The sequence below is a fragment of the Homo sapiens genome, chromosome 2, assembly GCF_000001405.40.
Source record: "Homo sapiens chromosome 2, GRCh38.p14 Primary Assembly".
In the NCBI taxonomy this organism is placed as follows: domain Eukaryota; kingdom Metazoa; phylum Chordata; class Mammalia; order Primates; family Hominidae; genus Homo; species Homo sapiens.
In genome coordinates this window covers 112,012,465-112,034,457 of record NC_000002.12, presented here as the reverse complement: position 1 = coordinate 112,034,457, position 21,993 = coordinate 112,012,465, and the positions used below count along the sequence as shown (strand labels likewise).

The 21,993-nt window shown below is 43.8% G+C and overlaps 1 protein-coding gene across 1 annotated transcript in view; it reads right to left on the bottom strand.

Moving 5' to 3' along the window:
- MERTK (MER proto-oncogene, tyrosine kinase) overlaps positions 4,897 to 21,993 on the bottom strand; it is a 130,955-nt gene continuing 113,858 nt past the window's right edge. The window contains exons 16-19 of the mRNA NM_006343.3: positions 14,936 to 15,045; positions 12,877 to 13,036; positions 12,064 to 12,200; positions 4,897 to 6,107 (exon numbers count right to left, since the gene is read on the bottom strand). Coding sequence (NP_006334.2) covers positions 5,594 to 6,107; positions 12,064 to 12,200; positions 12,877 to 13,036; positions 14,936 to 15,045 — 921 coding nt within the window. The 3' untranslated portion in view covers positions 4,897 to 5,593. The remainder of the gene's footprint in view (positions 6,108 to 12,063; positions 12,201 to 12,876; positions 13,037 to 14,935; positions 15,046 to 21,993) is intronic.

Here is a 21,993-nt window from a genome sequence, read left to right as displayed (position 1 = left end):
GTGCCTCTACACTCCAGCCTGGGCAACAGAGCGAGACTCCATCTCAAAAAAAAAAAAAAAGAAGACTATAGTTAAAAGAAAATGATTCATCCAAAGCCACCTGTTCCCTCCTTTGGACTGTTATTCAAGACAGCAAGGACTAGACTGCCTTTCTACACTTGATCTTAGCCAAAAGGCCAAGAAGTGATAAGGCCTAGACTGCCTTTCTTTGCAAGATCCCAATGCCCAGAACAGGGCCTTCCTCTCAGTGAATATTTGCAAATGGATGAGTGGGTTATAGGTGACCTCATATGATTGTTGTTCGAAAACACTTTCTTCATTAGAATGTTTAAGTGTATAGTCTCAATAAATCTATTAATTAACAGTTATCATGTCCTTAAGGAATAGAAAGAGTTAATAGATATAATTCTCTGGTTTCTCTTTCATATATCTATCCATGGAATCCCATTTAAATAAGAGAGATTGTATGTAAAAATATTCTAAAATAGTGGTCCACAGGTTACAGTTTCTAGAAGTAATTATTACATTTATTTATTTTGAGACAGGGTCTCTGTTGCCCAGGCTGAAGTGCAGTGGCATGATTATGACTCACTGCTGCCTCGACCTCTGTGGCTCAAGTGATCCTCCCACCTCAGCCTCTGAAGTTGCTGAGACTGCAGGCATGTGGCACCATGCCCAGCTAATTTTTGTGTTTTTTGTAGAGATGGGATTGCACCATGTTGCCCAGACTGGTCTTGAACTCCTGGGCTCAAGCAATCCTCCCACCTCTGCCTTCCAAAGTGCTGATATTACAGGCATGAGCCACCATGCCCAGAATTATTGCATTTAAATAACAAAAAATTAAGTAATTATATATGCCTTTTAAAGTTAAATAGAATGGGAGTTTTGCTGCTATTCTCACTTAGAGCTTTAAAAGAAAGAAAATAAAATCTAAGGATAGGAACATTGTGCATCATTGAAACATTTATTAAAGAAAACAAAACTTCCCATTTTCTCATTTGTCACTCAGTTACTAAACATCTTTAGAGAAGTTAAGTTGCTGTTGTAGCTAGTTTATTATTGGGTCAGTTACTTTCCCACGGACTCAGCAGAAGTTCCAACTTGCTTTTGCCATTGACCAGGAAAAGTTACAAAAGTCTTGACTTTCATGAATCAGAACTGGTCTGGCTAGAATCAGCCTGCTCTGTAAAAGAAGAGACTGTGGTTTGGCCCATTTCCCAGGTGGGGAACCTCTGCTAGGTCTGGCAGACATGGAGGCAGAGAGGGAATATCCCCTTCCTGGGATAGCATTCTGACCCACCACATGTCCCCAAATGCTCCTGGTAAAGCAAGCCACCATTGCTTGTCATAACCCACATATTGGGGAGAGGCGCAATGAGGCTTGTATCATCAGTAGCTAAACCCCAGGATAGACAAGAGGAAGGTAGTTCCAGCTCCTGAGCCCAGTGGCTGTTTGAGGTGAGGACTGAGGGCCTCCTCCTTCACTCTGAACTTCCCCAACTGTGCGTTTCTGGCTAAGGCGAAATACTATCTCTTTCTCTTTTCAAATTATGAATGACTGTGTTTATTTTGGAGGGAGTTGATGAAACAATCAGGGAAAATGTTTCTTTTTCTTTTTTTTTTTGAGATGGAGTCTTGCTCTGTTGCCCCATCTAGAGTGCCATGGTGTGATTACAGCCCAGTGCAGCCTTGAGCTTTGAGGCTCAAGTGATCCTCCCACCTCAGCTTCCTGAGCAGCTGGGACCACAATTGCATGCCACCATCCCTGGCTAATTTCTTTTTTATTTTTTATAGAGACAGGGTCTCCCTATGTTGCCCAGGCTGGTCTTGAACTACTAGGTTCAAGCAATCCTCTCTCCTCGGCCATCAAAAGTGTTGGGATTACAGGCGTGAGCCACCACGCCTGGCTGAAAATATTTTGAATATGACAAATGTTGCTGGGTTTGCACTGCATAAGGAATGATGCCACAAATTGAGAACAGCCTCTTGTGAGTATAATATTCTTTCGAAGACCTTGCCTCCTCCCCTTCTTACACAGGGTGTTGCAGAAAAAGGCATTGGTATGTTTACTGAACACTTGAGAAAACTGGGGCTCAAGGAAAGTCAAGTGACCTGCCCACGATTGCCCAAGGACATCTGGCAGGGTGAGCTCCTATCCAGCCCACCTCTGACCATATGGCCTGGCTCACCATGAAGAGTGCTTTGGTGTCTTTTTTTTTTTGTTTTCCAAGAGTTGCCCTGACGCTTGATTCTCATTTCTACTCATTAAGAAAAGCAACAGAAAGGAAAAAAAAAACAACACAAAAGAAAGAAAATCCTCACAAGGGAGGGCAAGTCTCAACGTGCCAGTCACGAGTGCTTCTGGCATATGTCTGTTTCCTTGTCCTTTCGACCTCCTGATCCTGAGCCCCAGCACGGTTAAGACAATTAACCCGACTTGTTTCTTCCTGTTTCCTCTCTCCCTTTTTTTTGCCTACAAGAGCCACTTACAAAAGTAATTTGAGTTTCTATGAAAGAGAATTTGAAACGCTGTTTTCAGTTTATGCTCAGAAGACAGTATGAGAGTTTGCCAATGACTGGATCATCTGAAAGTTAGTTCTTTCCAAATTTTCAAATATTCAGATGTGGCTAAGAAGAACACCAACATTCTCAGTGCGGAGATTTAAATGTGAAGAACAATGGTAGCCCAGCTTCATTCTCATTCATCACACCACTTTTAACCAACACTTGGGTGCATCACGCTGTGTGCTGAAGTGAATTTCTCTGCTACGTTTCTTGATGTCTCAAGAAAAGCCAGAAGCCACAGCTGGCTCAGCTTTCTACACTCTCCTGCGGCAGAACTGGCCCGGGCTCCCCAGCCCTGCTCAGACCACACAGAAGATACTGGACAGGATTTAGAGGGCTGTGGGGTGTTTGATGAACTATTCATTGTACATTTTTTACATTATGCTGTTAAAATTAGAAATATAAAATACAAAGTACTGTATATGAGCATAGATATTTAATATTAAGTTTATATTAAACTTCCAAATAACATTTTTCAATGTTTATAATTACTTATTTTGCTCATAGATATGAGCATACCTTTCTATTTTGGGGTGGGTTTTTTTTGTTTGAACTAGTCACCATCAGGTTCTGATCAAGACTTTAATGATCAGTTCTTCAACTTCCTGCTACTTACCATCGATAAGAAACTGTTTATACAAGTAGGTGATAAATTTTTTTATTTTTTAATGACCAAAAATTTTCAACAGTGTAAGTTATCTTTATAGGAGCTACAGCTTTTTTTCTTTCACGAATAAAATGTAATGGTGGCATTTTACAGATTCTTTTCAAACCCTCAGAACTTTTTTTTTTAATTTTTAGAGACACAGTCTCCCTCTGTCACCCAGGCTAGAGTGCAGTGGCACAATCACAGCTCATTGTAACCTCAAACTCCTGGGCTCAAGTGATCCTCCTGCCTCAGCCTCCAGAGTAGCTAGGACTACAGGCACACACCACCATTTCTGGCTAATTTTTTCTTGTAGATATAGGGTCTCACTATGTCGTCCAGGCTGGTCTTGAACTCCTGAGCTCAAGTGATCCTCCTGCCTTGCCTCCTGAAGTGTTGGGATTACAGTTGTGAATCCCCACATCTGGCCAGAACTTTTTCATATGGAGCATTTCACAGTAACAGAGGAGCCGGCTCACCCTGGAGATTGGGTGCCTGGGTGGGCAGCTGGGACCAGAACCTGGGTGAGAGCCACACTGTTGGACCCCATGTAGATTCTGATTCTTGAAGACTGTGGGAGAGGCCTAGGCGAGGCTGCTTACTGGTGGGGAGTAAACAGGCCTGAAGATGCCAGTGGCTCTGGGCCTGCTCAGCTGCCCCGAAGGCTGGGAAATCAACAATTCAACTGACTGCATAATTCTGCTGCCCTTACTAGCAGCATAAGTTAGGCTCTTCCTGCCTCAGTCTGCCCATCTGTGAAGTGGAGATAATAGTAGTACCTATCTGGTAGTGTCGTTATGAAAATTAAATGAGTGCCATGCCTGGCACAGAGTAAGAGATATATGTTTATTAAATAAAGTAAAAATGTTGAGAAGCTCTGGAGTAGATTTCTAATATGGTTTTGATCTGTGTCCCCACCCAAACTTCTTGTTCAGTTGTAATCTCCAGCGTTGAAGGTGGGGTCTGGAGGGAGGTGATTGGATCATGGGGGTGGATTTCTCATGAATGATTTGGTATCTGCCCCTTGGTGCTGTTCTCGTGATACCGAGTGAGTTCTTGTGAGATCTGGTCGTTGAAAAGTGTGGAGTACCTCCCCTCTCCCTCTTGCTCCTGCTCCTGCATGTGAGACATCTGCTCCCCTTTTGCCTTCTGCCATGATGGCAAGCTTCCTGAGGCCTCCCCAGAAGCTGAGCAGATGCCAGCACTGTGCCTCCTATATAACCTGCAGAATTGTGAGCCAATTAAACTACTTTATAAATTACACAGTCCCAAGTATTTCTTTATAGCAATACAAGAATGGACTAATACAACCCCCAAATCACAGGCATAGAACTAGCCAGAATCAGATGTTCTAAATTCTGGCTCCCCCACTGTTTAGATGTGGGCTACAAGCAGGTTACTCAGTCTCTCTAAGCCTGGATTTCTTGGCTCATACATGATGATGGCATTTGTACCATGTTATAATGACATACAGATTAAATAAGATGGTTCACATAAAGTTCCTGAAACAAGTACTCTACAAATGATAGCTATTACGAAGTGGCAGAGGCAGAACGTGAGCTCAGCTATGCCCTGCCCCACTGCCCATGCCTACCTCCCATGAGCTACCCCTCCCAAACAGAAAAGTGCTTCACCTGCCAGATTCTCTTCTTCAGCTGATTTTAAATCTTTCCATTCACACAGTATTTTTCAATCCTTCAATATTCTTTATTCCTTATCTACAGACCCTGGTGTGGTTTTTCCATATCTCTATAAAGCAATGCCAAGAATGGTCAGAGCAATTGCCCCAAGGACCAGGCATTAAGGGAATTCCTTTGCAAAGGCCACAAGGCCGCTGCCGACCACTGTCTTTCAAGTCTCAAGTAAGTTCAACATATCCTTCCTTATTCATATTTTATTAGGAAGCCATATCAGAAAATTAATCAGTTATACAACTTTAAACATTGAATGAATCATTCTTATCAAATACATCAAGACCAGAAGCCAAGTCAAATATGGCATTTCATTTTACAAATATTTTTACATTTAATAGTCATGAAAAAGAAAAGAACTTGAAAAAACAACTTCAACTCTGTACAAATGTTAATATCAAGGAGCAGCTGAAGCTTAATTTTAAGATATGCAAGATAAGTGAAATGAAATAAGTAATGTTTTATTAAAATATCCTTGTCTTTTTCCATGATATACACATATTTTTTCTCTTTAAATAAATATATATTATGTATTTTTAATGACAGCTTACTTAACAACATTCATCTGGTGCTTTGGGGCCATGGAGTTCACTTGGTAAGGAAGACAAATACCAAAAACATCAGGTACAATTGGATTCTCCTACAGCAGAAGAATTGGCTTGATTTTTGGAATGTCTCCCCGCACCTCTCCTCACATCAGGACTTCTGAGCCTTCTGAGGAGTCGTCAGCAAACAAAAGTTCATCGGGCAATGAGCTTCCCAAGGGCAGCATGCTCGAATGGGACCAGGAGACCCCATTCCTAACAAGTCTCTCCCCCGGTAAAACACTGTTCTTTTCAGCTGTGACTGCAGCAGAGGGGGCAGAAGTCAGATCTTCCCATTCCTCACTGCCCCCATTCAGGATGTACCGTCCTTCATGAGGTTTGCTGTCATGAACTTCTGCTGTGACCACACTGATGGCAGCGCGGGGAGTGCAGGAGGCAATTATAGAGTCAGGGTCGATGTTCAAGTCCAGTGGAGCAAGGGTGGAGCCCTGGGCCAGGCCCTCAGAGCTCTCCAGCAACTGTGTATTGACGTAAATAACGTCTGCTTGGTTCCGAACGTCAGGCAAACTTTCTAAGAGTTTTTCTAGCTGCAGCCTCAATACTGAAAAGGTGGGGCGGTCTAAGGGATCGGTTCTCCAGCAAGAGTACATTATTTCATACCTGAAAGTTAAAAAGAAGTGGATTGTCTCCCAGCATGGCACCCATCTCTTTGTGCAATCCATGCCTTTGTTTTTACAGAATCTTTATCACATTTTAATCAGCATTCATTCTACTTTTTATAAAAATTATTGAGACTTTTTTGGTGGCCTAATATTTATACAACTTTTGTAAATGTTCCATGGTATTTGACAAAAAAGTGATTCTGTTTCTAGGAAGAGCACATATGTGGCAGTTATATCTAACTTTGCAGATAAGGAGTATTTAGGTCTCTTTCTTTATATGGCGGCGGGCAAACTATGGCCCATGAGCCAAATCCAGCCCACTGTCTACTTTGTAAATAAAGTTTTATTGGAACACAGCTATCCTTATTTGTTTACACGTTATCTATGACTTCTTATGTCACAATGGCAGAGTTGAGCAGGTGCTAAAAGGCCTGCAAAGCCAAAAATATTTGCTATTTGGCACTTTATAGGAAAAGTTTGCTGACCTCTGTCCTATGCCATCAAACTGAGTTGTTACCAGGACAGCTGAGTTAGTTGGGGCCCTGGGGCTAGGGCTAAGAAGATCAGGAGCAGGGGTGAGGGCAGGGGGTAGTTGTGTGCTGCGTATCACTCCATCTAGTCTTCTCAACAGCCCTGTCATTGTCACTTTGTAATGAAGATGACAGTGGGCTCAGGGACATTACAGAACATGCCATGGCCATGTGGGTAGCCAGGGATTCAGATTCAGATTGGACAACTCCTGCGTCCAAGTGCTCCTCACAACTCCTTCCACTTTGTTTTATAGAGGGCAACTCTCTTCTGGGTGGTTTTTTCATCCCAGTGTCTAATATAGTTAAGAATTCCAATGGAGGGACATTTAATGGAGCACAGTAAGACAGATGACAATTAGGAATCAATAGGCTGAGATGAAGAGTGAGTTATACCATCATTTCATTAAAAATGTTTTTTTTCTTATAATTGATAGACCTGACATTTCAGGGCCAGGCATATTAATTGGCATGTGTGTATATATATGCCATATGTGTGTGTATATATATACACACACACACACATATACACACACATATATGGCATATATATACACATATATGGCATATATATATATGCATGCCAATTAATATGCCTGGCCTGAAAATGTGTATATATATAAAAATGTGTGTGTGTGTGTGTGTATATATATATATAAAATTTTAAAAATAGATGTATTTATTTTTTTAATAAGACGAAGTCTTGCTATTTTGCCCAGGCTGGTGGAGAACCCCTGAACTCCTGGGCTCAAGTGATCTTCTGCCTCAGCCTCCAGAGTAGCTGGAATTACAGGTACACACCAGCATGCCTAGGCATCATTTCATTTTGATGCTTTTCTGTTTTGAGAAACTGATAATTCATACGTCATTGGACAAAAAAATGACCCAAATTTAAATCATCTGACCCATGCAATAAATTACTAGCATCTTACGAACAGAAATATGCAATTTCCATATTGACATTTAGTTACAGCCTATAGAACTTTTGGCTAATTCTACTAACATGTTACTTCACACACAACATGCAGATCTCATTCACGTAGATGTATAATAATATCTTTTCATCTGTCCACTTTCCAGCCTTTATCAACACTTGCACACGCATCCGGAAGCTGGAGGCTGGCAAAGTGCCATGCATGTAAAGAGCTTGATCCTGAATGTAGGCCTAGACAACGGCACGGCGCATTTCCCTGTCTCACAATCCTTGTTCTCATCTCAGGCTTAGGGGTTCTGTTTTGTTTCCCTGTCTTACCTTCTTTAGATGGTCACTTAGACTTGACAGACGGTTTCTGTTTTTATTTTTGAGGTTTTCAGGCGTAAGTCAATTTGCATGACTCTGTTTTCCAAACAGCCTTGATTGTTTGCCATCTAAGATGAGCTTTGAGACATTCTGTTCTTAGGGACATAATCTCCTTTTCATTATTTCATCAAGAGGCTGTGGTATTTAACTTACTTTCATTTATTTCATGTCTTAGGAGAAAGTATTTAAATAATTTATCTTTATTTCCAAGTAGAATAGTATCAATATCACTTTGAAACTTCTTTTCCTTTAATATTCAATACCTTATCAAATGTATAAAAATATAAATATGACTTTTAAAGACATGGTGAACATGTATACTGTCTAACCTACTCCCACAAATGGGCAATTTCATCGTAGTAGAACAAGAAGATTAACAAGAAGCCCCCATCTGGTAAGTAATAGGAGGGCTGTGATATTTAGTGATTTAGACTTTATAAAATTTTATGGATGGAAAGAAAAATAAGTTTGGTAATTGCTTTTGTAAATGGTCATTTTTATTTTTCTGCTGAGATTTTATAAAAGATGTGATCATATAGGTTGCCATGGGCTGTATTGAGGAGAGAATGGGATTAGTTTAATGGGTAGAGACTTTCAGATTTACAAGATAAGAAGAGTTTTGGAGATAGATGGTGGTGATGGTTATACAACAGTGTGAATGTACTTCACGCCACTGAGCTGTACGCACTGGTTAAGAGTACATTTTATGTTATGTATATTTTATCACAATTAAATGCAATCATATGAATTTACAAAATTTGTAAATGTATGACTTTACTCATATTTTTCAAGCACCTGCTTTGCTCCTGGCTCTGAGGATGGCTGAGTGCAGGCTGCAAGTCTGCACAGGGAAATGATGCCCATCTCCTATCAGCTGTGCTTCCACTGTGCTAGCCAGTATCTACCCAGCTCTGCCACTCAGCCCACTGTGACTCCCACCTTGTCCCTTCTCCAGATCTCAGATGCTTCAGGTGGCAGTGGAGGGAGGGATACATCAATGGGTAGAGGAGGGTTTCTGAGATGGGGAAGGTGGATATAAGCTGGGGTTCTTGGGGCAGACAAGAAGCAGGCAAGAGGCAGGGCCAGCTCTGTGCCAGCCAACACACCAGGTCCTGGGTGCCAGGGTAAATAATAGTGTGAGGGCAATGCTAGGCTGGTCAGGTGTGTGAAGCGCGAGGGTGGTGCTGGGATGGGCATCAGGTGAGTCCCGGAGAGGAGCCCCTGAGTCCACGCAACTGCAGCTTCAAGGTGGCTGATGCAGGTAGAACATGACCAGCAAGTGCCAGCTGTGTGTGGGTTGATGGGCCCTAACCGATCACTCCTCACTGCAGCCCCACGAAGGAAGAGATGCAGTCACACTCACAGACAGGGCAGCTGAGGCCTGGAGAGGAGAGGAACTGACTGAAGTCACGCCAACAGTCGGCGGCAGTGCCAGTCCATCTAACACAGGGCACCTGCTCTCATCCGTGACCTCGACCTCCTTCACTATGAAGAAGAGTCACTGACCTTTCCCTCACGTTTACTATTTCAGCCATCATGTGAAACACTTTAGATTTGTTTTTTGGGTTTTTGTTGTTGTTGTTTCTTTTTTTGAGACAGGATCTTGCTCTGTTTCCCAGGCTGGAGTCTGGTGGCACAATCATAGCTCACTGCAACCTCGACCTCCTAAACTCAAGTGATCCTCCCACCTCAGCCTCTTGAGCAGCTGGGACTACAGGCATGCCCTACAACACCCAGCTAATTTTGTTTATTTTTTGTAGAGATGGGGTCTCACTGTGTTGCCCAGGCTGATTTCAAACTCCTGGCCTCAAGCAATCCTCCTGTCTTGGCCTCCCAAAGTGCTAGGATTACAGGCATGAGCCACTGCACTCAGCCTGAGTTCATTTTACAAAGGAAATGTCTCAGAAATGGAACAGAGGCCTCTTTGGGGGATGCTGTTGTTACCCAGCATCTAGATTCGAGAGGAGATGGAAGGAAGCCTGGCTCACAGGGGCCCCGAGGCCACAGCACAGCCATAGCCCCCTTGGCACACCCAGGGCACAGAGCCCACAGGAGGCGGGGGTGGCAGGTTCGCCCCTCTCTGCCTGACTTCCCCAGCCACACGGCGTGTGCTGACTCTGCTGCTTTGTCCCCTAAAATGTCTCACAGAAAACCGACTCAGCATTCACTTGTTTTGGCTCTAAAAACCACAACGTGACACAGCTTAGACCCTGCTAAGACCCAACATAATCACCGCAAATATCAACTTATTTTGGTGGGCAAGGAAAGCTCAGAAAGAAACTGCAACAAAACTCTTTCCATAGTCAACATTGTTTGACTGAAATGCTTCCTTATTTTCAGAAGCAGGCACTTCATAAACATGGCACTTTTAAAAACTACCATGAAACCCTAGAACTAATTTTATTAGCATTTCAGGATGTTTTAAAGGTTTTACAGTGCTTGTTTCTCTTCTTAATGTTATACATCTACCACCACAATAAAAACCAACCACTACCAACGGGACGAAGCTCTGATTAAAACAGTGTCCTTCTTTTTGGCTTAGAAGGGACCCGGAAAGCCTGTGGGCAAAGGGACCCAGGCTCTCTCTCCCATGTGAGGCAGCAGGGCGTGTGTGTGTGTGTCTGTGTGTGTGTGTGTAGGGAGGGTGCTGTCCACACTCACCTGTCCCAGCCCAGGCATGGCACTCCATGACAGAGCCAGCGCAGGCCCACAGTCCTGAAATGTTCTTGCTAAATATGGTGAGAATGCCCCTCTCCAAGCCCATGGCCCTTATTATACAGGGAGGAGACTCCCCATTAGGAAGGTTCAAATCACCATCACCAAGCTACCAGCAATGCCACAAGAAATTATTTTAATAAGGTCAGCAAAGTGCTTGGGGGAGATTAATTGCCATAGCCACTCACAGGGCCAGTTAGGAAGCAGAGCGTGGCCTATTGACTCCGAGGCCTGGGTCTCTTCCCCATACTGCCTGGCCTTGAAGACGGGGGCCCTGTCAGGATGGGATGTGTGCTGTGTGTGTGTCACAGCTGGTAGTTCTTTCTCCTGTCTAAACACATGATCTCTCAGGGAGCACTTTATTTTATTATTTTATTATTTTTTATTTTTTTTGAGATGGAGTTTTACTCTGCCGCCCAGGCTGGAGTGCAGTGGCACGATCTCAGCTCACCGCAAGCTCCGCCTCCCGGGTTCACGCCATTCTCCTGCCTCAGCCTCCCGAGTAGCTGGGACTACAGGCGCCCGCCACCACACCCGGCTAATTTTTTGTATTTTTAGCGGAGACGGGGTTTCACTGTGTTAGCGAGGATGGTCTCGAACTCCTGACCTCGTGATCCACCCGCGTCGGCCTCCCAAAGTGCTGGGATTACAAGCGTGAGCCACCGCACTCGGCCTTATTTTATTATTTTTTAATAAAGACAGGGTCTCTCTATGTTGCCCAGGCTGGTCTTAAACTCCTGGGCTCAAACGATCTGCCCTCTTTGGCCTCCCAAAGTGTTGGGATAACGTGCATGAGCCACTGCGCCCAGCCCCAGGGAGCATTCTAAAACACACATTTCTGGGCCCACTTTGTACCGAAAGCATCATAATTTCCGGGAACAGGGCCGAGGAATCGTATTGTTACACTATCTCCCAAGCGATTCTGATGAGCAGCCTGACCCCAAAGTCATTGGTTTAGATTTCTGAGTTTCCTGATGAAGGCTACTACTGTGAGTGGAGTGTTTGAAATGCTACATAGAAGGAGAAAGATAACTGGACCAAAAGAGGGTGAGGAATCATTCAAGGACCTCATGCACTACAAGGCGAAGCTATTATCTGTGGATATATTTCCTAGAGGTGTGTAAGGAATTTTAGGACAGGTGCCATTGCCTTGTCTTGACCGTGCCTGTCGTTCGAGACTGAGGCCCTTTGGATGAGTGAGCCTCAGTGGGCTCACTGGAGATACCACACACTATCTCCCACATCAGGAATGGCTCCTGGGCTGGGGTGTCTGTGGGTTCCACCCCTCTGCACATGCCCACCTGGCTAACAGCAGTCCCTTTCCCCTCCCATGGCTGTGTTTCCGAGGTCAGTGCAGAGCCAGGTGGCTGCCCCATGCAGAGTATGGAAGGGAGACAGAGAAGCCCACTCACAGTTCATCCAGGCAGTCTTCGGGCTGCTTCAACCTGTGGCCATGGAGAAGATAGTCATACATCTCATGGTTCTGGACCCCAGGATAGGGAGTCATTCCCCGCGTAGCTATTTCCCACATGGTCACGCCAAATGCCCACTGGGAACAAAGCAACAACAAGTTAGGATGCAAGCCTTTCCACAAAGCCTGAATGGACTTTTTCACTGGGAAAGGTCATTTCCTTAAACACTGATGATCATGCACAAAGCTGGCAATTATGTGTGAGACGCACTGCTCTCCCAACGCGGCAATAACGTGGGGTTGGAGTGTCACAGTTCCCCACTTCTACAAAAGCTGTTCTGGGAAATCTGGCAAAGGCAGAAACAGCCTCGTCACACATCTGCTTAGTGCTCTCCTCCACTGTTGCTGTGAGGTGCTTTTTTTTCCTTATCTCGGGTCAAGGGCGTAATTACACAGCACCTTTCATATAGCATCTAGGTTCCAAGAGCCAGTGGATGAACTCATTCAATTTAATGTGACTATGAAATATCCTAGTTGTGGGCAATGAGTCATCCTTTGACGGCAAGGAAAAATGGGAAGAAATTAAGGGCTTTTGCAAAGCACACATCTTCTGAATGTCAGGACACTTCATCAGAATCTACTGTTCCACTTGAATTAAAGTATCTGATGGTAAGATATAAAAGAGATCTGAGCAAGCTGCCAACCCTCAGTTTATCAAAGAGTAAAATGTCTTGCCATACCAGCTGAGGTCATTTCTTTCAATATGCCCTCCTCTTTGTGCTGTGGGACCCCTGAATCAAAGCTGTGTACATACCACATCACTTTTACTTGTGTAGACTCGGTCTGCAAGACTTTCTATGGCGATCCATTTAACAGGCATCTTAGCAATGCGGCCTTGGCGGTAATAATCGCCACTGTAAATCTTCTTAGAGAGGCCGAAGTCCGCAACACAGACAGTCATGTCATCTCGCAACCTACAGAGAGCAGGTTACGTCTTCAGCAGCGTCAGAGGCAATGCCTTAAATTACTGGTCTGTATCAGACACAGGTGAAAACACTTATGATAATTGACCAAAAGAACACAGAGACACCACCAGCCTGTGAGCATGCTGCATTGGGACCAATGGCAGAGCAAGTGAGGACCAACAGCAGAGCAAGAGCAAGAGCAAGTGATGCAATTTTTTTTTTGAGACTTTTGAGATAGAGTCTCACCCTGTCACCCAGGCTGGTGTGCAGTGGCATGATCTCGGCTCACAGCAAACTCTGCTTCCCGGGTTCAAGCAATTTTCCTGCCTCAGTCTCCCGAGTAGCTGGGATTACAGGTACACACTACCACAGCCGGCTAATTTTTTTTTTTTTTTTTTTAGTAGACATGGAGTGTCACCATGTTGGCCAGGCTGGTCTCGGACTCCTGATCTCAAGTGATCTGCCCGCCTTGGCATTCCAAAGTGCTGGGATTACAGGTATGAGCTACCACGCCTAGCCTCAAGTGATGCAGTCTTGCATCGCTCTGATCTGTGTGGGATGTGGACTAGCAAGGGCACCTGTGCACAGTGGATAGAAACAGCTGGAGAACATGGAGACGCAGCATAGCAGGAGCAGAAAGAGCAGCAGCTCAAAACCAGAGCCCTCTGGTGGACTGATCCAGGACCCCAGCAGCCTTCCTCCCAGAGGTCTGGAAGCAGCACTGGCCCTGAGGACTAAGTAAGCCCCCTGAGAGTTTGGGGAAGATGGGGAATTACCTGCAGTAAGAGCAAGATGCTGGGCTTCTTGCTAAGATGGCCAGGTGGGTGCTTGAGGAATTAAATGAGAAATTAAAGGGCTACAACTGCATTTGTAGCCCAAGCTACTAAAACAGCTCCTACACAAGAAGAAGGAAGAGGAGAAGAAAGAATAAAAGGAAGAGAAGGAGAAGAAATAGATATAAAGTAGTCTGGGGAAGGTGACTAACTTGTCCCTGTTTGCTTGACACTGCCTTTTTACACTCAAAATCCCTTGTCCTGAGAAACCCCTCAGGCCAGGGTAAACTGCAAAGCTGGTCACCCTACCTGCTGGGAAAACATGAAGGAAACAGTAAGGGAAAAAGAGTTTTCATGATTCTCCCTCCATGGTCGAAAAATTATTTAAATAATAACAATAACAAAACCAAAACCCCTTTAGTGTTTTCAAAAATGAGGTGAAAGAGGTAGGAGCCCTAGGGGCAGGGTCGGCTGGGAGGCGGGAGGGGGCAGGCCCCATTGTCACATCTCTGACCAAGAAAAACAAATGACAAAATACATTGAAGGACCACTCCCTCTTCTTGCAATAAAAAACTTAAAATCAAGACATAGTTATTGTTTTTGAAGATTTACAGCAGACAATGGCTCTGCTGAAGCAGGTTGAAGAAATAGGGAGAACCTAAGTCCACATTTCTTGTATAATGAAGCCATTGTCTGCTGTGAAAGGACAGCTTCCATGTATTCAAAGTACAAAACTTCTTCCTAAGGAAGTGTTGTGAAAACTTAGGGAAAAGCCTTTATGATTTTCACTGCTGTCTTTAAGAGGAGCTGACGTACACATAACTCTAGGTCCAAAGCTAGCTGATGGCTGGGGAAGGATCACAAGGGTCACACCTTGCATTCCTACCGAGTGAGAGAGTGAAGGTAAAACTGGAGTCATAAGGGAAAGCTTTGGAAGCCAACCAGACTCTCAGATACAGAGGCAGTGAAAACTCCCAAACACCCAGCCATATTTCCATCTTCGGAGCAAGCCACACCATCCCCCGCTGACTGCAGCTTCCTTGCCTATCTAAACAGGAACAGGTCCTCTCACTAACCCTGCAAAGACCAAACACCATGAGGTCCAAACCCTTCCAGGATAGCCGAGGACTCTTACATGCAGTTTCGAGCAGCTAAATCTCGATGAAGAAAATTCCTGTTGCTCAGATACTCCATTCCCAGGGCAATATCCACCATGAACTTCAATAGTGTCTGCAGAGGAATATGCTAGATGATAGAGGAAACAAGAAGAAAGACTATCTTTTAAAAAGGAAAACTTGCAAGCAGTTTCTGCCGGGGGGGGAAAGGATGCTTTAATTTATTACAGTGTAGTGATGAAATAAGGAAACAAATCTTTTATTTCCATATCACTAATATCACAAATAAGGTTTTTAAAAAGGAATGAGAAAAACCTTAAACTTCTTGGCAAACATCATATTCTCTTTTCCCCATCTTTAAAAGTATTTACAGTGAATGACATTGTTTCTTTTTAGAAGGTATGAGGTCAAACGTGATCCTTCCGTGTATCCTTCAGAGTGGGACAGAGCACACGCATTGCACAGAGGAGGGAAAGGGACAGGTGGTCTGGCTTCAGCAGCGGCGAGGTGTGTGTGTGTGTGTGTGTCAGGGGTCTAATGTTTCGGAGGGGAAAAGTCCACTTAGGATGAGCTGTTTCCAATTAGGCACCCCTATCTGCTACCATTTTACTACGAAATGTTTTGAAAGATACTCGTTTCTTCTAAACAGAAATTAGGAGAGTCTTCACCAATTATCACAGGACCAAAGCACCACAAGTACATATTCAGGAATTTTCATTTTGCTCCCGTAGGCCCTGCCTATAAGTTTCAACAGTCTAGTGTTTTCTCTAGCTTATAAAAATCAAACTAGATTGCTGTGTTAGAAAACCAGCCACTGTTGGAATCAGTTATGAGGATGACTGCTGATAAAACTTCCATGTAGTAATTAAGTGTTTTAGTGCAATCATGGCCCTGCAGAAAAGGATTTGCACAAGTCCCTGGCAGTCATGAATGGGTCCATCCATTATGTACCCTCCCCAAGGCACTGAATTTGCCATGGCTTCCTTTCCAAACATGAGTTTTCCAAAATGGTACTCATTTTGGAAAGACATTGCATTTTCAATGATTTTATACTCCAAGACACATGTCAATTACATACTGTATAAATAAATGAAATGTCTTAATCTTTAAGTATGGAAGTTTTATGCCTCTATTCTGTATTATTTGGGTATTTGGTTTTCTAGATACTGATTTCCAGGAAAGGATTTGGGTCATAAGAAATATTGCATCTTGCTGTCATTCATGAAGATGTAATGAGTATCAGGTACTATTCATTTGTGCTGTTTTTTCCTAGAACACTTCTGTTATTCCTGGAGACTGTGACCAAAAGTCACTTAAAAAATAATTGTATAGCAGAATTAATAAATGAGTTCAGCAAGGTTGTAGGATACAAGATGGACATACAAAAATCAACTGTATTTTTATATACTAGTGATGAATAATCTGAAAATGAAATTAAGAAAATTCTTTCTTCTCCTCCTCCTTCTTCTTGTGTAGGAGCTGTTTTAATAGCTTGGGCTACAAATGCAATTGTAGCCCTTTAATTTCTCAATTAATTCCTCAAGCACCCACCTAGCCAACTCTGGAACTGTGCTACTTCTGGGCTTTATTGCATGAGATCCTGTATCTCCGTTGAAAGTCATTTTGAGTTGGGTTTTGTATTACATGCTGGTGAAGTCATTCTACTTGTTGTAGAACCTAAACATTGACCCCAACTTCTCTTTCCTGTTTTATCACCCCTCCTCCTATCCTTCCATTGCTTTGCTGTTGCCATGTGAGACAATCTGCTTTTCTTAAAACATAGGTATGCTCCCAGATCATTTGGTCTTTGCTCATTCTGATCTTGTGTGCTGCTCTTAATTTTCCACTGTACTCCTCCTACCACTCTTTTGAGGATATCCATGATGGCAGTGTGGAATTTTTTTTTTTTTGAGACGAAGTCGTGCTCTGTCACCCAGACTGGAGTGGTGCAGTGGCGCGATCTGAGCTCACTGCAAACTCTCCCTCCCAGGTTCAAGCGATTCTCCTGCCTCAGCCTCCCAAGTAGCTGGTATTACAGGCATGCACCACCACGCCCGGGTAATTTTTATGTTTTTAGTAGAGATGGGGTTTCTCCATGTTGGCCAGGCCAGTCTCAAACTCCTTGAAAGGTGAAGCCAGCTGGACTTTCTGGGTTGAGTGGGGACTTAGAGAACTTTTCTGTCTAGCTAGAGGATTGTAAATGCACCAATCAGTGCTCCGTGTCTAGCTAAAGGATTGTAAATGCACCATTCAGCACTCTGTAAAAACGCATCAATTGGTGCTCTGTGTCTAGCCAAAGGACTGTAAATGCACCAATCAGCACTCTGTGTCTAGCTAGAGGGTTGTAAATGCACCAATCAGCACTCTGTAAAATGGACCAATCAGCACTCTGTAAAATGGACTAATCAGCAGGATGTGGGTGGGGACAAATAAGGGAATAAAAGCTGGCCACCCCCAGCCAGCAGTGGCAACCCGCTTGAGTCCCCTTCCACACTGTAGAAGCTTTGTTCTTTCACTCTTCACAATAAATCTTGCTGCTGCTCACTCTTTGGGTCCATGCCATCTTTAAGAGCTGTAACACTCACTGCAAAGGTCCGCGGCTTCATTCTTGAAGTCAGCGAGACCAAGAACCCACCAGAAGGAACCAACTCCGGACACATCCTGACCTCAGGTGATCCACCCGCCTTGGCCTCCCAAACTGCTGGGATTACAGGCGTGAGCCACCACACCCAGTCAGCAGTGTAGAATATTTTAAACATTTCTCCAGTCAGAACTCATTTCTTCCCTGAAGCTCTAGCAGGCTGCTCACATCACTGTGTGATGCATATGTTATTACAGCCTATCTCCCTTTGTACTATCGATCTCCATGAGAACTGGGGGTCATGTCTCATCATCTACCTGTCTGCCCTGCACAGCTCCAGAGACAATGTCTGCCCTGGGCAGAGTGGCACTATGGGTCCAGCACCCTAGCCCTCCTGGAGAAGCATGTTTAAATACATTGATATTGGGCCATCGCAGTATCAAATGCACTGATAATAGTCTTGGGCTGCTCTAGCAGGAGCAGGAGCTATTTATTCCAGGCAGCAAAGAAAAGATCTGAATAAAAGCTTGATTTTTCTGTTTGTCTATGCACTTTGTGTCTTCCACCTTATCTGTGGCTACTAAGCAACAAAATAGGAAACTACATTCCTTTTTATCTTTTTAATACTTGAAAGTTATTTTCCATCATTGAAAATACACTTGTATTTTTTTGCAAATGGAAACTATTCATCAGTCAGTAAAATGTTGTGTACTTGTTTCCCTTACTTGTTATTTTGTTCAAAAGGATATAAGATTACAGCAGAACTTTTGCCAGACACAGATAAGCTGATTCTAAAGTTTCAGTGGAAGGGCAATGAAACCAGAATAGTTAAAACAATTCTGAAAAAGTAGAACAAAGTAGGAAGAATCACACTGGGTGATTTTAAGATTTATAACAAGCTTCAGTAATCAAGACAATGTGATAGGGGCAAAGGATGGGCACAGAGTTTAATGAAACAGAACAGAGGACTCAGAAATGTACAACCAACTGCTTTTAGACAAAGGTACAAGAGCAACTCAATGGATTAAGGACAGTCTTTTCATGGATTAAGATAGTCTTTTGCTATTGGTCATCTATACGCAAAAAAAGCAAACCTTAAACTAAATCTCAAACCCTATACAAAAAATAACTCAGAATTGGTCATATACTTAAATGTAAAATGTAAAAGAACATAATCTTTAGAAAAGAAATAGGAGAAAATCTTTTTACTAGGGGTTAGGCAAAGAGTTCTTAGACATGAGAGCAAAAGCATGACTCATTAAAAAAAAACTGATAAATTGGGCTTTATCAAAATTAAAATATTTTTGCCCGTGTTAAGAGAATGCAATGACAAGCTACAAACTTGGAAAACAGTCTCTGGAAACCACATATCCAACAAAAGAACTATATTTAGAACATATAAAGAACTCTCAAAATATGACGAGAAAATCAACAACTCAATTAAAAAATAAACAAAATACTTGAACAACAGACACTCATCAAAGCGGATGTAAGGATGGCAAATAAGCACATGGCAAGATGCTCAACATCATTAGTCATTCGGGAAATGCAAATAAAAACCATGATGAGATATCACTCTACATCAATCAGGACAGCTATAAGGAAAAACCAGAAAAGCCAGCAACAATATTAAGTCCTAATAAGAATGGGGAGCACTGCATTTCTCACACACTGCTGGTGAGAATGTAAAATGGAATGGCCTCTCTGGAAAACAGTTCTTATAAGGTTAAATATGCACTTACCATATGACCCAGCATCCTACTCTTGGGCATTTACTTTAGAAAAATGAAGACTTCATCCACAAATCTGTACATGAATTTTATAGCAGTCTCATTCATGATTGCTAAAACCTAGAAACAACCCATATGTCCCTAAACAGGTGAAAAGATAAACTGTGGTAGAAGCATACAATGGAATACTACACAGCAATAAAGAAGGAATGAACTATTGATATACACAGCTTGGTTGGATCTCAAAGACATAATGCTGAGTGAAGGAAGCCAGTCTCAAAAGGTTATAAAATGGCCGGGTGCAGTGGCTCACACCTGTAATCCCAGCATTTTGGGAGGCCAAAGCGGGTGGATCATTTAAGGTCAGAAGTTTGAGACCAGCCTGACCAACATGGTGAAACCCCGTCTCTAGTACAAATACAAAAAAAATTAGCCAGGCGTGGTGGCAGGCGCCTGTAGTCCCAGCTACTCAGGAGGCTAAGGCAGGAGAATTGCTAGAACCCGGGAGGCATAGGTGGCAGTGAGCCAAGATTGTGCCCCTGCACTCCAGCCTGGGTGACAGAGTGAGACTCTGTCTCAAAAAGAAAAAAAAAAAAGGTTATAAATGTATGACTCCATTTATGTAACATTCTTGAATAGACAAAACTATTTGGGCCACCAAATAGCCCTGTGTATTTTTAATCTTTTTTGCTACAAAATGCACTCTTGTACAATAACATGAAATTTCCACACCCCCAAGAAATTATTAGAAAAATTATACAACGTAACAGCTAGGCACGGTGGCTCACGCCTGTCATCCCAGCACTTCGGGAGGCCGAGGCGGCTGATCACTTGAGGTCGGGAGTTTGAGACCAGCCTGACCAACATGGAGAAACCCTGTCTCTACTAAAAATACAAAATTAGCCAGGCATGGCCGGGCACGGTGGCTCATGCCTGTAATCCCAGCACTTTGGGAGGCCGAAGTGGGCAGATCACAAGGTCAGGAGATCGAGACCATCCTGGCTAAAACAGTGAAACCCCGTCTCTACTAAAAATACAAAAAATTAGCTGGGTGTGGTGGCGGGCACCTTTAATCCCAGGTACTCGGGAGGCTGAGGCAGGAGAATGGCGTGAACCCAGGAGGTGGAGCTTGCAGTGAGCTGAGATCACGCCACTGCACTCCAGCCTGGGCGACAGAGCGAGACTCTGTCTCAAAAAAAAAAAAAAAAAATAAGCCAGGCATGATAGCGCATGCCTGTAATCCCAGCTACTCAGGAAGCTGAGGCAGGAGAATCACTTGAACCCGGGAGGCGGAGGCTGTGGTGAGCCGAGATTGAGCCATGGCACTCCAGCCTGGACAACAAGAGTGAAATTCCATCCCCCCGCCACCACCCCCCTCCCAAATTATACAACGTACCATAAATTAAATGTGAGTAAAATCACCCATCAACATGAAACAAAACCCACTGAAATGATGTGGTGCCGCCACTCACAGGGATCTGTGTGGGGGCTGCCCTGCTGGAGAGGGGTGCACACAGAATGGGGCAGTCAGAAGAGCATTGAAGGCTCACAGTCTGCAGCCTGGGGGCCAATCCTGCTTTCACCATGGCCCCCTGTGCCTCAGTTTCCTCAGCTTAGATTCCACTAGTAACTACTTTTTAGGGCTGTTGTGCCACTGGTGCATTAATACATACAAAATACAGGCTGGCCTATGCTACATGCTTGAGAAAGGTTAGCCACTGTCATCCCAGGGGCAAGTGTGTATGTAGTGACGTGAAGGCCATGAGAAATGTAGGCATTGAGTGAACAATGAGAGATGAATGTCTGAAATCGCCAACAATTGTACTAAGGTGTTGGGAATTGTGGGTAATTTTTTATCCTTTTACAGACTTCCTATAATGCAATCATCTTTCTTTTTGGGGGAAAAAGAGAAGGAAAATACTCAGCCCTGTCTATTATATTTTCTGTGTAGGACTAGGCCCCTCACCTCTTTGGAAGAGTCTCGGTGATTTTATAACAGCTGTGTGATGCAGCTGCAGCCTCCTGTCTCTACGGTTAGTACTCATGTTGGTGAAAGACAAGTGCATTCTCATGGAAGAGAACAGGAGTACATGTGGGCATGGGGCCAGGGGGGAACTGGAAAAAAGAAAGGGGGCCACTCTCCTGTCCTGATCACTTAAGCTGTCCCTAGGAAGAAGAGAAAGAGTAAAAGGGGGAAAAAAAGCAAAGCAAAAGTACCCTCCCCTCCATCACACACAGGCGTAAGATACCAACAACGTCAGCTGGAAGTGGAAAAGGAGGCTCCAGCATGTGCTGACCCTAAATTGGGTCTCACATTTTTGCCTATTTGTTTCAGCTTTCCCAAATTTTAAATAAAGGGCTGTTTCTACAGATGGACCTGTCTCTTGGGATGAGGACTAGTGTTTTTCTAAGCCGACTTCCCCCATGAAGGCCCTCAGTTGTCATTCTTGTCATCATGGTTCACTGTAACTCTATCAGTCACCTGTGACTTGTGGTTATTAAGTTCATAAGTTACCGGAGGTCGGGGCACTTCAGTCTGAGGTTCCGCTTCTCTCTAGTTTCTCCATGCTGGAAGGATTCAGGGCAGGGGTTGCTGCCCCTCTTAGGGGCACTGCTGAGGCAAGCAAGCTGGCCTACCAATTCCCAACACATCTTCTGATCCTGAGGATGGATACGCTCATGACAAAGAGAAGATGAATGGAGGGAGCATGTTCACCCTCAGTGAACAACTAGAAAGCAACTCCATGCAGCCTCCACCGGGGAACTG